The sequence below is a fragment of the Homo sapiens genome, chromosome 15 (genome assembly GCF_000001405.40).
Source record: "Homo sapiens chromosome 15, GRCh38.p14 Primary Assembly".
Lineage (NCBI taxonomy): Eukaryota > Metazoa > Chordata > Mammalia > Primates > Hominidae > Homo > Homo sapiens.
The window spans coordinates 71,904,764-71,921,755 of record NC_000015.10 but is presented as its reverse complement, the minus strand read 5'-3'; the positions used below and the strand labels follow the sequence as shown (position 1 = coordinate 71,921,755).

At 35.6% G+C, this 16,992-nt stretch overlaps 1 protein-coding gene across 50 annotated transcripts in view; it reads left to right on the top strand.

Moving 5' to 3' along the window:
* MYO9A (myosin IXA) overlaps positions 1-16,992 on the top strand; it is a 296,310-nt gene that overhangs the window by 196,845 nt on the left and 82,473 nt on the right. For all 50 annotated transcript variants that reach the window (XM_047432576.1, XM_047432553.1, XM_047432585.1 and 47 more), the window contains 2 exons: positions 5,264-5,386; positions 16,750-16,830. In XM_047432576.1, coding sequence (XP_047288532.1) covers positions 5,264-5,386; positions 16,750-16,830 — 204 coding nt within the window. The remainder of the gene's footprint in view (positions 1-5,263; positions 5,387-16,749; positions 16,831-16,992) is intronic.

The window sequence follows — 16,992 nt, the reverse complement described above, 5'->3', positions numbered from 1 at the left end:
TGAGGGAAAGGAATTTAGACTCATACTAACTTTTTGACCTTTTTACTTATTGAATATATATCTTTTAAACTTCTTACTACTTTTAATTCATTTCAACTTTTTATTAAAAATATCTCCTGTTTACACAGGCTATGCTAGATAAGATATATCCCTATCCTGAGGAATTTTTTGAGTATATAGTAGGAGGCCAAATATCCTCAACTCACTAATTTCGTCTCAGACTAAGTTCTCTATTTAAGAAGTAGGGATGAGTTAGGTAGGGATGGAGTGCGGGAGAAGGAGTGGGTGGAAGGGATGACATCTAGGTTGGGTTTTGCAGGATAAGTCAAAATGATCTGAGATCCTTGTTATTACAGGGAGCCTTTCCATCAAACCTCTTGACAGGAGCCACAGTCAGCACTTAGTTTGTACAACTATGACTCTGAGATGACACACAGCTCTTCCCTTTTGGATAACAAGTTAGCCTAGTTTGCTTCAGACAAGCATCCACTTGAAATGCAGAGGCAGCTTTCATGAACTCAAGTTCGTCCTTCCACAAGATGATAGCTCTGTTTTGGTAATACTTTCCCATTTTTCTTGTTAGAATTTATTCCCTCCTAACTTGAAACTGTCACCTGTATTAGATCTACTTTTCTAACATGACCTATTTTTTTTAGTTACATTGTTTTAGTGACAGCTTCATTGTCCAGTTATATATTTGTACTTTGATATCTTCCTTGTCTCAAAATTCATGCTCAAACTAATTTTACTGTGTTGCTCCCCTAGTACGTTTTTATAGTCACTTGGGCTCAAATCTTGAAGTTATTATTTTTTTGAGACAAAGTCTCACTCTGTCACCTAGGCTGGAGTGCAGTGGCACGATTTTTGCTGACCGCTTGCCTCTTGGGTTCAAGCAGTTCTTGTGCCCCAGCCACCCAAGTAGCTGAGATGACGGGCATGCGTCACCATGCCCGGCTATTTTTTTTTTTCCACTAGAGACAGGGTTTTGCCATATTGACCTCACTGGTTTCCAACTCCTGGCCTCAAGTGATCTGCTCACCTCAGCCTTCCGAAGTGCTGGGATTACAGGTGTGAGCCACTGTGCCCAACCTTGAAGTTAATTTTATTAGCCATTTTAGTCCTTTTTAATAACATGAGAAATGCCTTAGTTTGTTTGGGCTGCTATGATAAAATGTTTTAGATTGGGTAATTTATAAACAAAAGAAATATATTACAGTGTAAGAGGCAGGGAATTTCAAAATCAAGTTTTCAGAGTTGATGTCTAGTGATGGTTCATTCCTCATGGAATGATACCTTCTATGTGTTTTAACATGGCAGCTCTTTTGGGCCTCTTTTATCAAGGTACTAATACCACTACCCAGCTACTTCCCAAGGGCCCCTCCCCTTCGCCTCTTAATACTATCACACCAGGATTAGGTTTCAATATATGAATTTTGGGAGACTCAAAACAGTTAGACTATATTCAAGCAATATCTCATTAATCTTTTTGCCTACAGCACCTTGCACAGCAAGTGGTAGATAATTGTTGAAAAAAATAATAAACTGGTTAATTAAGCTTAATAAACTCAACCATAATGATGGAATTAAGAAAGGAATGAAGTAGACAAGGAACTGAAGCCCTAAGAAAGGAAATAATTCTGTATCCCTTTACCTCTAGATTTACGGTCCTATTTTATCTTTTTTTCATAAACCTTATGCATGATTGAATTATTTTTTAATGTCCTAATAGCCTGGACTTGAATGCAATGTATCCTTAGCACTTACAACAGAGTCTGACCTTTAGTAATGACTCTGAACATTTGTTGATTGACCAGGTTATTGTTAGGTATATGGGAAGAAGTCTGGTCTCCACTTGCTAGGGAAAGCATTGCTCAAAGTTCATTAGTTGCTAGCTTTTTTTTTTTTTTTTTTTTTGAGATGGAGTCTTATTCTGTCGCCCTGGCTGGAGTGCAGTGGTGCGATCTCAGCTCCCTTCAACCTCTGCCTCCTGGGTTCAAGCGATTCTTCTGCCTCAGCCTCCCGAGTAGCTGGGATTATAGGCGCCTGTCACCATGCCTTGCTAATTTTTTGTATTTTTAGTAGAGATGGGGTTTCGCCATGTTGGCCAGGCTGGTCTCGAACTCCTGACCTCTGGTGATCCACTCTCCTCGGCCTCCTCACGCCTGGCCAGTTGCTAGGTATTTAATTCATTCAAACTAATATTTATTGAATCCTACTCTAAACCAGACAGTATTTTAGAAATTGAGGGTACAGGGATGCACAGTACAGTTAGAATCCTTTGGGAGGTTATCTCTTATTTATTTTTTGTTTTTTGAGTCAGTGTCTCGCTCTGTCACCCAGGCTGGAGTGCAGTGGTGCGATCCTGGTTCACTGCAGCCTCTGCCCCCTGAGCTCAAGCAATCCTCCCTTATCTCCACCTCCCGAATAGCTAGGACCGCAGGCACTCGCCACCACGCCTGGCTAATTTTTGTACTTTTAGTAGGCATGAAGCCTTGCCATGTTGCCCAGGCTGGTCTCCAACTCCTGAGCTCAGGTGATCTGCCTGCCTCAGCCGTTCTCGGATTATAGCCCTGAGCCACAGTGCGTGGCACTGCAGGAGGTTATTTTTTAGAGAAAAAGAAGACAATATACAAATTAACAAATAAATGAAAAAATAATTTAGATGATATTATGTGCAGTGTTGAAAATTAAGTGACATGTAATTGACATAGAAGTGGGCTATTTTTTCAGTATTTAAGCAAGAGTTTTCTGAGAAAGTTACATTTAAACTACAAATTCAGTGCCAAGTAAAACCAAGTCTTGTGAGGGCCCGGCTATAGAGTATTCCAAGCAAATGAAAAAAATTGGAATGACTCTGAGGCAGAAATGAATGTCATGTTTGGTTTTTCAAACTTTTGCAATATACATGACAGCAAAGATTTTCTAATAGTTATTTTATTTTGCATAGTCCCTCTGGTGTTTTTTTCATAGTGAAAAACAATTTAAACTCAAACTTTATTTCCAAGGTCTTTTTCTCCATAGTATCTTAAAAGTGGAAGTGGGGGAATTATTTTAGGCTTCAATGCTAATTTGTTTTCACATAAGGGTAACCTATAAATTATTCTAATTGATTCTTGACCAGTATGAAAAATTACTTTTCATGAATATACATACCGTGAAGCTGTGATAATTCAAAAGTGCCAATAAAAGTAAAACAAAAACTTTCTAATTAGCACAAATGCCCTTTTTACATGTGTGTTGTTTTACATGGCTTTTTTTTTGATCAATAGTGCTTACAAATATTTTCCCATGTCAGGAAATACAGATTTACAGTAACTTTATGAGCTGTGGAGTACTCAGTTGTGTAAATGAAGCATACTTTATATAAATAATTCTATATAATTGCATATCTATAATTTTTCATTATTTTTTGAAGTATATTGTTATAAACAACATAGATTTGTTTGATAACTCCTTAGAATAAATATCTAGATGTGAAATTTCTTGTCAGGAAAGTTATAATAATTTACATTCCTAAGAACAGTGAGTATATAGTATATGTCTGTTTCCCCACCACCTCATGAATACTGGCTCTTGTCAGTCTTTATTGTATTGGCCAATCTGATGCAGAAAACCTCTTTTAAAAGAAATGGCATTTTCCTTCAATACAAGTGAGATTGAATGGATTGTGGTTTTGTTACTTGCCATTTTTACTTTGAGAATTGCCTTGTCAGATAATCTTTGCCCTTTCTTTTATTGTGATATCTGTCTTTTTAAGAATTTTTAAAAGTTTTTTTTTTACATACAGATGATAAGCCTTTTCATTTGTAGGAAATAACATTTCCTTAATTCAGATTGTTTACATGTGTGTTGTACTTCTTTCAATTTGCATGGTTTTATTAATGTTTATATTGTCAAAATAGATACCTTTAGACTTGAAAATTTGTCATGTTTTTAACACAATCTTTTGTTTCTCATACATTAAGATTTTTGATTACTTTTTAAATAACATATAGTTTACATCTGTATAGATATATTCTTTTCATTTACAAACTCACTACCATAAATATTGTGTGGTTTAAAAAATTATGATTGGCTCAAAAAGCTCCCAAATACTTGTACTGTCTTTACTTTGTATACTTTAGTTGCTTCATGTCTAACTCCCATTTTCCTAATTTTTAGTGTAGTACATCATGATGAGGGTTAATAGGGACTATGCTTTGGTTTTTTTGTTTTTTGTTTTTGACAGAGTCTCTCACTGTTGCCCGGGCTGGTGTGCAGTGGCTCAATCTTGGCTCGCTGCAGCCTCTGCCTCCCGGGTTCAAGCAGTTCTCCTGCCTCAGCCTCCCGAGTAGCTGGGACTACAGGCACGTGCCACCATGCCTGCCTAATTTTTGTATTTTTAGTGGAGACGGGGTTTCACTGTGTTAGCCAGGCTGATGTCAAACTCCTGACCTCGTGACCCGCCCACCTCAGTCTCCCAAAGTGCTGGGATTACAGGCGTGTGCCACTGTGCCCAGCCTACTTGGTTTTTGTGTATGTCCCTGGCACACCGACTGTCGCCCTGGTATTTAATTGTTGTCTCTGTGAGTCAGGATTGAGATAACAGTAATTACAGTAGATATTTTTAAGTAGAAAGGGAATTAAGCAGGCACTTATAAAATCATTAGAAGTCACATGTTAAAATAACATTTGCAGAAATGTCCCTAAATGTAATTAGAAAGCTAGGAAATCAGGAAGCTGTCAGTGCAGCTGCTACTTGCGGTACATACTGCCTGTGGTGTAATCTAGCCATCTGGAAGAAACTGCTACAACTATTTGCTCCAGGGCTAAGCTGCATTTAGTATAGTTGTGATGACAACACAAATGTTCTGCACTCTGCCTCTGAGCATTTACAAAACTAGTGCCTGGATGCTGGAACCACAGAAAAAAGGTACATAAAGTATATGCATTTTTGCTAGCAGAAGCAGAACTAGTAGCCAGAGCCTCTGCCTCAGTTATACCTTCCCAGTTTCACATGTGGGCCTTTTATTAGTAAACTTAAACCATATCCAGAACTCTAGATGCAAGAGAGTTTGTGAAGTGTACTTTTCTTTTTAGCTTTCTAGCTTCTAGAGGAAGACAGGAGAATAGAATGAATGTTGGATATCAGTCTTTCATATTCACTACAGTCATTTAAGATGGGAAATGGTCATATAGATAGGAAATGATGAAAACTGGCTGAGAATTTTGGCTTATTGTTAGATTAATTTATGTGAGCAATTTATTTTTTCTCTTCTTTCAGCACTTGCTAGAAGTAAATTCTTTAAAGCACCTGACAAGACTGACACTACAAGATCGCATTACCAAGTCTCTTCTTCATTTACACAAGAAGAAAAAACCTCCCAGCATCAGTGCCCAGTTTCAGGTTATTTCTTGTTTCGCTTAAAACAAATAAGAATCTGTATCTTTCAGATTGTCATTGAAAGGTTAAAGTGATCTGCAGGGTACTTGAATGGGATTTTAATTTATGTGACTAAAAAGCCATATATTACTGATCATTTTGGAAAAAAGAACCAAAGATGAAAAAAAAAAAGTCAGATGCCTTTGTTTTTCATCCACATATGTCTGGATAATGGATATCTCAATATTTGTTATTTTCAGTGTGAGGAGAAAGCAGAAAATTGATGTTATAAACAAATCTGCCTTTAAACCCTGCTGCTTAGATAATGTCACTGTTAGCATAATGATATATGTTTTTTTCCCTGCTTAAACCTCATGCTGCTACCATCAATAGTTAACTAAATGAGGCTGAAGGTTTTTTTCCTGTGTATTTATTTTACCTTTGTATAAATAGAAATCCAGTTCTTTTTTGGGGCTTTTAGGAATAAATATGATAATAGTTAACCAAATTTCTTCCAGAATAATTTTTTCAAATTCCTTTTTAAATTGCCTCTTCCATTCTTCTCAAATCATCTATCTCCTAAGATCTTTTCATTTGGTAGATATTTATGAAAGTAAGCAAAATATCTGGTAGGTAACAAATGCTTTGCATAATTTTACCCTATTTCATGTTTATATCACAGAAGCAGTGTTCACTGTTGTATAAAAATTTCCTTATTCATGATAGGTGTATCTGTATATGTTAACACTTTTTAAAATGCTTCTTTTGCAGCTAGGATGTTTGAACATAAGCTATCTACTAATGTATCATTGTATATGATCTTGTTTGATTTATAAGCACAGTTCTTCAAATTGTGGGCTAGAAATGTCATTTTATTTTAGGTAATTCTCACCATGGGCCTAAAGAAAAATTTGAATCTGTGCAGGCTATTTGGTCACATCCTTTCTCTTTAAAAAAAAAAAAAAAGAAATGAAAAAGCAAGACCAAGGAGCCAAATAACTCATTATGTGCAAATAAGCTTAAAGGAAAGGGAATTGAGTATAATGAAATCACTGCCATGAATTTTAAAAATCCTTCCTAATAATCATATGGGTTAATGGCATTTGGTTGGGAAGAATGAGAAGATAGTGCTTGGGGAAGTCTGTCTTTACCTTGCTTCTGTCCTCACAATCCAGAGTCTGGATGTTCACTTTGTAGATTAGAAATGCAAAGATTAATGGGTTATAGAAAAAAAAATCATGTTGAGTAATATAAGTTTATTAATATACAACATAAATATGAGTCATAAGCAGACTTAATACAATTTTTTAGTTTATTAGCATATTTTTTTCCTGATTAGCAAATCCACATGGGAAGCCAAATTCTGGTCAAAAAGTACTTTGGTGAGCTCAGTGTCTGAAAAGGGAACATTAATCTCGTGATTATGAAAGGTAGAATTATTAAGCTGTTAAGTGTTTTGTTACCTTGGATCTTTTACAGGTGCCATGTATACCAAAATCATTCTTTAATCTGAAGAATACCATATAGCTAGTACAATAAAAACTTAGTTATAATCACAATCCTATTGTGTCTTTTAAAATCCTTCCAAATTTACATATTCTCAATTTATATTCATGAATTATATTTAATTTTTAGAAAAAGAGTCCTCTTTCATATTTCTAATCGGCCATTAAGTTATTACAAAAGTAATGAGTTAATTTTTGATTATTTAGAAAATATACATGAGTAAGAACAAGTGAAAGTCATCTGCCATCCATAGATAATGACCAATGTATGGTATGTTTTCCAGGCCCTTTGCCAAAAATTTACACGTATGCATTGTCTAATAGGTGTTGTCTAAGTTCTTCTCCAATTATTCTAGGATAATTACTATTATACTTATTATAAAGGTGAGGAAACCAAGTAACAGATGACCAAATTGCAGGTAGTCAAAATGGATGGCACCCAGCCGTCTTTGTGCCCTTCCTTGAATGCTTATTTTCATGAAAATGATACCATAGAACTCACAAAGGATTAATTGGTATAGGAATTGCCCTTCTGCTATAAACAACCAGAAACTGGACAAAAGATATGAGTCAAATATTTTCAGATATTAGTAAGCATTACGGGACTCCAATCTCTGAGAATAGGGGAAATAAATGAGGAAAGCCCCAGATTAACACCTAAAGATGATTTGCTACGGCTCAGGAAGAGGAAACCCAAACAAATGCCAGTGGTCTTGCTAATTGAAGAGATGGAGATAGAAAGGTAGAGGCAACTAGAATTTGTGAGGCAGAGTAAAGAGGAGAAGGAAATTGTATGAAGAGAAAGAGCTAGAGATCTGCTGAGGGGTCTCCTTGAGTCTCTGTGGCTGACTACTGATCTGTGCATATGTGAGTTAAAATTCCATGAGATTGGGGAAAGAATGATTATTCTAATCACCTAAATCCTGTAGACCTAACAATTTCTGGTACTTATACAGGATTAGAGGAGTAGTTCTGTTCTCATCAGCCAGAGTGAAACGACCTTTTATTACATGAGGCATTAGGTAGAATCCTCAGAAAGACAATGTTTTAGCAATGGGACCAAAATAGTCCTAATGTAAAGGCTGCTCTGGCCCTGCTCTCACAAAACTAAAAATTAAGTCTTAAAAGAATCAGACTGATCCTAAGTAACTTAACAGCATGTTAAGAAAAATGTTTGTCACTCTTTAAAGGAATACAACAAAATCCAACAATGTAAAACACAGTGTCTAACATCCGATGAGAAATTACAAGGCAGGCAAAGAGTCAGGAAAAAAATAACCCATAACAAGGGGGAAAAAAAAATCAATAATCAGAGACAGACTTTAAAATGATGGAGATGATGTAAATAGTAAGAATGTCAAATTAGCTATAATGTATCTTTTAAATATGCCCAAAGACATAACAAAAAACATGAATATGATAAGAACAAAATAGATTTTTTATTTTGGAAGGTGATGACAGAGTCTCTGGACGCTTTCTCAGGAGATGGAGTTGTTCTGTCCTGTCTTTCACTGCCTGTTGCAACCAATAAGGGCCATTTGTATTATGAAAATGAAAAAACTGAAGATATGAAAAAGACTCAAATGGAACTTTTAGAGATTAAATATGTAATATTTGACAATAAAAAACAAGCTAAATTGGATTAACATCGGTTAGACAGTTCAGAAGTAGTACATTTGAAGTCATAGTTTATTAAAGCCCAGAGAAAGCAACAAAGATGTAAAAAAACGAAAATAGCAATAACTTATGGAGCAATATGATGCAGTCTAACATAGATGTAATTGGAATCTCAGGAGATGAAAGGGAGGAGGGCACAGAAAAATATATTTGAAGAAATAATGAGCAAAATATTTTCTGATTTGATGGAAAAAAAAAAAACTACGGAGATCAAAGAATCTCAGTAAACCTCAATCAGAGCAAACAAAAACACACCAAGACACATTATATCAAATTGCTAAAACCAGTTAAAAAGAGAGCATCTTAAACTTAGCCAGAGGGAGAAAAGAGACATTTTGTGTAACTAAGTGAAGATGATCAGAAACTATCAAAGCCATAAGACAAGAGTGATAGCTTCAAAAGACCAAAAAGAGAAAAAAAGTCACCCTAGAATTCTATGTGTGGTGAATGTATCTTTTAAAAACTAAGGTTAAGTAGAGACATTTTCAGACCAAAAAAGCTGAGAGAATTTATTACCAGCAGATCTATAATATCAGAAATTTTAAACATGGAAGAAAAATGATGGGAAAACCACATGGAAGTTTGAATTTACACAAAACATGAATAGTGGCAGATTGATAGAAATGTAGGCTAATATTTTAAAAATATGTTTTCTTGGACAGGCTTGGTGGCTCACACCTGCAATCCCAGCACTTTGGGAGGCCGAGGCAGGCAGATCACCCAAGGTCAGGAGTTCGAGACCAGCCTGGCCAACATGGTGAATCCCCATCTCTACTGAAAATACAAAAATTAGCCAGGCATGGCGATGGGCGCCTGTAATCCCAGCTACTTGGGAGGCTGAGGCAGGAGAATCGCTTGAACCCAGGAGGTGGAGGTTGCAGTGAGCTGAGATTGCACCACTGCACTCCAGCCTGGACAAAAGAGCGAGACTGTCTCAAGAAAAAAAAAAAAAACTTTTCTCTTTTTAAAATAATTGGCTATAGAAAACAAAAATAATAGTATATTGTGAGGTAGAAATAAAATATATAATAAAAGTATCACAAAACACCTAAAGTGGGGCTAAGTGGAAATATAGTGTTGTTAAGCTTTTACACTATACAGAACATGGTATAGTATTATTTGAAGGTAGACTGTGATAAAAGGTGCAAATCCTAGAATAATCCTTTAAAAAAGAGTTAACAGTTAGTAAGGTAATAGCTGAACTAAAATGGAACCATAAAATATACTCAATAAAAAAAAGGAAAAAGAAAATTCAGACTGATAAATAGAAACAAGTAACAACATGGTAGACTATAATGTATATTTTCTGTATTATTTCAGCCTTTTGTGGTAAATTACCACCTTCACTATACTCTAAAACATTCCCTCTTGAGAGTTTGTCTTCTGCAGGCTAATGTTAGATTTTAATGAGTCAATCCCTTTGACCACCAAACTTTCAAAGCAGGTAAAGCCTTAAGTTATGACTGGGATGATACAACTTGATCATAAAGAACTGTGCAATGTTTATGCATGGACCTGTATGTCAAAGTCTGGTCACTTCATAGCACTATGTCTCTACTTAGTAGTTTTTTAAAAGAAGTTTTGTGGCTTTCTCCTAATATAATCAGTCATACACATGCTGTTGCTTGTTGTAGCTACTAAAACTTACTGGTAAAGCTGCTACTCCTCTCCATACTCAGCTGCCTAGGGATCCACAGGTTGCTAGGAAAAATATCCGCTGTTATGTGAACAGTCAACATACTCTTTCTTCAAGCGGTGAAACCTAAATTTTTCTCTTCCCTAGGAGTCTTCTAACTGTGGGTATAAGGAAGATGTAGGATACATTAAGCTTGTTTTCATATTTGAATTGAATTCATACTTGTAGAAGTATGAATTCCCTTTGAAAAGGCTGATTGGTTTGAAGAAATTAACCTGGTTTTAATTATAGCTCTAAGAATTTAGTCATTAGTCAAATTAAACCCAAGCTGATATTCTCTGAACATATATGTATGTATTAAGTGTTCTAGAATAGCTACATATTACTTTTATAATCACAGGAAAAGCCATCTAAAAAAGAATGTATTTTTTTAAAAGATAGTTTATAGCAGCAGGAAGCAGATTGGTAGTTGCCTGGGGCTGCTTCTCAAGTGGTTATTGACTGCAGATGGGCAGGAGGGAGTTTTTTGGGGGTGATAGAGGAGTTCTAAAACTGGACTGTAGTGATAGTGGCATAACTGTGTAAATTTACTAAAACTCATTGATTTGTGAACTACAATGTGTATATTTTAATAGTATGTAGATTTTATTCCAATAAAACTTTAAACCAAAAAAGTCACCATTAAAAGAAGAAAAAGAGCAAGACTAAAAAAGGACTTGTATAATATGAAGAACTAAAAATCAGTGTTTTAAAAGGAAGAAAACCTAATAGACAAATGGACAAAAGTCTCAAATAGGCAGTTTATAAAAGATGATATCCAGAAGGCCAACACACCTATGTAAAACCTGTTCAACATTATTATTCATGAGGGAAATGCCAATTAATACCACAAAGCAATACTGTTACATACTTGCCAACATGGCTGAAATAAACTGATTATACAACATGTTGGCAAGATTGGGGAGCATTCAGAACCTTATATGGTACTGTTGAAATGTAAATTGATACAAGCATATTGGAAAACAGTTAAAAGAGGCAAGTATAAGTATGTTCATAGCAAAATTTTTCATAATAAACTGGAAACAACGAAATACTCATCTCTTAATGGATAGTTTAATGGTAGTATAGCCAGTATAGCCAAATAATGGATCACTAATATACAGCACTGGAAATTTACAAAATATAATTGTATGCAACAAATACAAAATAGTACATGGTGTATTTTTCCATTCATATGAACTTTAATAGTAGGTAAAATTAACTTATCATCTTAAAAGTAAGAATAATAATTACCCTTGGTTGGGGTGTGGAAATAAGAGTACATAGCTTATGTACAGTGAGCTTGCTAAAGTCAATGGGATGGGGCACAAAGGGGCTTCTGAGTTTCTGATTTTATATATATATATACACGTATATATATATACACACACACGTATATATATATACACGTGTATATATACACGTATATATATACGTATATATATATACGTGTATATATATAAAATTGGGGCTTTAGTTACAACAATGTCTTCCTTTTGTAAAAAGTCATAATTTACACTTATTATTTTAATATTTTATGTGTATTATTATTATCATTATTTTGAGACGGAGTCTCATAAATAAAATGTTGCCCTGGCTGGACTCCAGCTTCTGGGCTTAAGCTATCCTCCCTCCTCAGCCTCCCAAGTAGCTGTGGCTACAGGCATGTGACACTGTGCCAAGCCCTATGTATATTATACTACAATAGCATTTGCAAGAAAAACGAACAGTTAAAAGTTTAAAAATTTGTATGTTGATGTAATTTCACAACAGTAACAGGGGTCTATATATAGTTGTAAGACTTCTTTGTTTTACTTGAACTTGTGAAATATCGACTCTTAAGTAAGTAGACTGTGACAAGTTAGGTTTGTATATTGTAATCCCTAGAGCAGCTACTAAAATGCAGTACAAAGATAGTTGAAAAGTAGATAAATTAATATGGAATACTAAAGTATATTGAACAGAGGGGAGGGGCACCTCACCAAAGAAAGTACACAGATGTCAAATAAGCATATGAAAAGATGTTCCACATTATATGTTATTAGGGAATTGCAAATTAAAACAAAAATGAGATACCACAGCACAGCTATTGGAATGGCAGAAGTCCAAAACAATGACAACACCAAATGCTGGTGAGAATGTGGAGCAACAGGAACACTCATTCATTGGTGGTGGGAATGCAAAATGGTACAGCCACTTTGGAAAACAGTTTGACAGTTTCTTATAAACTATATTTTTACCATATGATCCAGCAGTAACAACTTCTTGGTATTTACCTAAATTAGTTGAAAACTTATGTCCACACAATAACCTGTACACAGATATTTATAGCAGCTTTATTCATAATTGCTAAAACTTGGAAACAGTCAAGATGTCCTTCAGTAGGTGAATGGATAAACTATGGTACATTCAGACAATGGAATATTATTCAACACTAAAAAGAAATGAGCTTTCAAGCCATGAAAAGGCTTGCAGGAACCTTAAATACATATTACTGAGTGAAAGAAGCCAATATGAAAAGGCTACATACCATAAGATTCCAAATATATGACATTCTGGAAAAAACAAAACTATGGAGACAGTAAAAAAGATCAGTAGTCGCCAGGATCTAGTTGGGGGAGGATGAGTAGGCAGAGCATAGAGGACTTTAGGTTAGTCAAATTAATCTGTATGATACTGCAATGGTGAATAAATGTCTATATATTTGTTTAAACCCAGAGAATGTGCAACATAAAGAGTGAACCCTAATGCATATTATGGACTGTAGTTAATAATCATGTCAGTATTGGTTCATCACATATAACACACTAATGCAAGATGTTAATTATAGGGGAAATTGTGCATGTGAGGGTAAAGGGGCATATGGGAATTCTATGTTCTGCTCATTTTTGCTGTGAACCTAAAACTGCTCCAAAAGTCTATTTTAAACAGACAGGGAGTAAGAGGAGGAAGGGAGGAACAAATGAGAGAGGACAAACAGAAGGCCAGTAATAAAATTGGTAGCCCTAAATCCAATCATACTAATTATTAACAATGTAAATGCTCTAAACAGTCCAATTAAGAAATGGATATTATCGGCCGGGCACAGGCTCACGCCTGTAATCCCAGCACTTTGGGAGGCCGAGGCAGGCAGATCACGAGGTCAGGAGATTGAGACCATCCTGGCTAACACGGTGAAACCTCGTCTCTACTAAAAATACAAAAAAAAATTAGCCGGGTACCAAAACAGAGATATAGATCAATGGAACAGAACAGAGCCCTCAGAAATAACGCTGTATATCTACAACTATCTGATCTTTGACAAACCTGAGAAAAATAAGCAATGGGGAAAGGATTCCCTATTTAATAAATGGTGCTGGGAAAACTGTCTAGCCATATGTAGAAAGCTGAAACTGGATCCCCTCCTTACACCTTATACAAAAATCATTTCAAGATGGATTAAAGACTTAAACGTTAGACCTAAAACCATAAAAACCCTAGAAGAAAACCTAGGCATTACCATTCAGGACATAGGCATGGGCAAGTACTTCATGTCTAAAACACCAAAAGCAATGGCAACAAAAGCCAAAATTGACAAATGGGATCTAATTAAACTAAAGAGCTTCTGCACAACAGAAGAAACTACCATCAGAGTGAACAGGCAACCCACAAAATGGGAGAAAATTTTTGCAATCTACTCATCTGACAAAGGGCTAATATCCAGAATCTACAATGAACTCAAACACATTTACAAGAAAAAAACAAACAACCCCATCAAAAAGCGGGTGAAGGACATGAACAGACACTTCTCAAAAGAAGACATTTATGCAGCCAAAAAACACATGAAAAAATGCTCACCATCACTGGCCATCAGAGAAATGCAAATCAAAACCACAATGAGATATCATCTCACACCAGTTAGAATGGCAGTCATTAAAAAGTCAGGAAACAACAGGTGCTGGAGAGGATGTGGAGAAATAGGAACACTTTTACACTGTTGGTGGGACTGTAAACTAGTTCAACCATTGTGGAAGTCAGTGTGGCGATTCCTCAGGGATCTAGAACTAGAAATACCATTTGACCCAGCCATCCCATTACTGGGTATATACCCAAAGGACTATAAATCATGCTGCTATAAAGACACATGCACACGTATGTTTATTGCGGCACTATTCACAATAGCAAAGACTTGGAACCAACCCAAATGTCCAACAATGATAGACTGGATTAAGAAAATGTGGCACATATACACCATGGAATACTACGCAGCCATAAAAAATGATGAGTTCATGTCCTTTGTAGGGACATGGATGAAATTGGAAATCATCATTCTCAGTAAACTATCGCAAAAACAAAAAACCAAACACCGCATATTCTCCCTCATAGGTGGGAATTGAACAATGAGATCACATGGACACAGGAATGGGAACATCACAGTCTGGGGACTGTTGTGGGGTAGGGGGAGGGGGGAGGGATAGCATTGGGAGATATACCTAATGCTAGATGACGAGTTAGTGGGGGCAGCGCACCAGCATGTCACATGTATACATATGTAACTAACCTGCACATTGTGCACATGTACCCTAACACTTAAAGTATAATAATAAAAAAAAAAAAGAAAAAAAAAATTAGCCGGGTGTGGTGGTGGGGCCTGTAGTCCCAGCTAATCGGGAGGCTGAGGCAGGAGAATGGCGTGAACCCGGGAGGCAGAGCTTGCAGTAGGCCGAGATCGTGCCACTGCATTCCAGCCTGGGTGACAGAGCGAGACACTGTCTCAGGAAAAAAAAAAAAAAAAAAAAGAAAGAAATGGATATTATCTGATTGGATAAAATAAGACCTAACTGTATGTTATCTACAAGAAACCTCTTTAAATACAATGATACTAAAGGGTTAAAAAATGAAAAAAAATAAACCATGCGAACAAAAACCAAAAGAAAGCTATAGTGACTATAGTAGAGTCAGACAAAGTAGACTTCAGAACAGAGAAAATTACCAAGGATAAAGGGAGATAATTTCATAGTGATAAAAGGTGCAATTTACCAAGTCTTACATGTATATTCATCTAATAACAGAACTCCCAAATATCTGAACCAAAAACTGATAGAATTAAAAGAAAAATGGACAAATCTGCAGTTATGCTTGGAAACTTCAGCATACCTCTTGGTAATTGACAGGGTAAGTAGGCAATTAGGAAGGATATGGAAGACTTAAATAGAACAATTAACCTACTTGACCTAACTGAAATTTGTAGAACACCCTAGCCAACAATTGCAGAATATGCATTTATTTTAAGTGCCCATGAAATACTTGCCAAGGTAGATCGTAAACTAGGCCATAAAACCTTAACAATTTTGAGTTAAAATCATACAAAATGTTGTATTTATAATAGAATTAAACCAGAAATCAAAGAAAGACATCAATCCCCAAATATTTAGAATATGTAAAAGCGACTTCTAAATAATACATATTTTAGAGGAAGGAAAATTTTATAATATTTTAAATAGAATGAAATATCAAAATTTGTGCAATGCAGCTAAAGCAGTGCTCCAAGGTTAATTTATAGCACTAAATGCTTTTATTAGAAAAGGAGATATGTCTCAATTCAATAATCTAAATTTCTACCTCGATAAACTATAAAAAGAATATATGAAACCCAATACAAGCAGAGAAAAGTAAATAATAAAGATAACAGCAGAATTCAATGAAATGAAAAACAGAAAAATAGACAAAACACTGACACCAAAAGCTGGTTCTTTAAGCAGATCCAAATTTTTTTTTTTTTTTTTTTTTTTTTTGAGACAGAGTCTCACTTTGTTGCGCAGGCTGGAGTGCAGTGGCACCATCTTGGCTTACTGCAACCTCCACCTCCCAGGTTTAAGTAATTCTCATGCCTCAGCCGGGCACCACCACGCCTGGCTAATTTTTGTATTTTTTAGTAGAGATGGGGTTTCACCATGTTGGCCAGGCTGGTCTCAAACTTCTGACCTCAGGTGATCCTGCCCTCCTTGGCCCTCCAAAATGCTGGGATTATAGGCGTGAGCCACCATGCCTGGGCTGAGCAAATCAAAAAGTTGATAAATTTCTAGCCACTAATCAGGAAGAAAGAGAGAATGTGCAAATTACCATTATCAGGAATAAAAAAAGGGATATCATTACATACTTTGTAGACATTTAAAGTAAAGCAAGGGCTTACTACCTTACTGGATACCCTCCTGAATCATTTTAAAAGTTGTAGGATACATGAGTTTGAATAAAATTGTTTGATGAAATGTGAAGAAAAGTGAAAAAAATTCTATATTTGATTGTTCTGAAAACATCTGCAATATTTACTATTTCCAGGCTATCTGCTTTAATATTAAACTACCATCTTTATCCTTAATTATCCATAATTTAACCAGTATGAGAATATACACAATGTGCTTTTCAAAAACCTCTTTCTATGTGTACCTCTACTTTTTGAATGTTTTGCCAGCATGTTGATTATAGTTATAAATTATTTGTTAATAGTTTGGAATGGAAGAGTATGATAATTATATTGCTTTCTGTTGCAGGCATCATTAAGCAAGCTAATGGAAACACTTGGTCAAGCAGAACCATATTTTGTAAAATGCATTCGCTCTAATGCTGAAAAGGTAAAAATGTCCTATAAATGAGAGCACATATCTCAGCTTACTTCAAACTGAGCTTTAAATACTTTTAAGCAGAATAAGTGGAGGGGAAGCACTAACTATAATATTTATAAGGAAAATAGTATGTTATAAACACTTTAAATGGATTTTTCCACACTTCCCTGC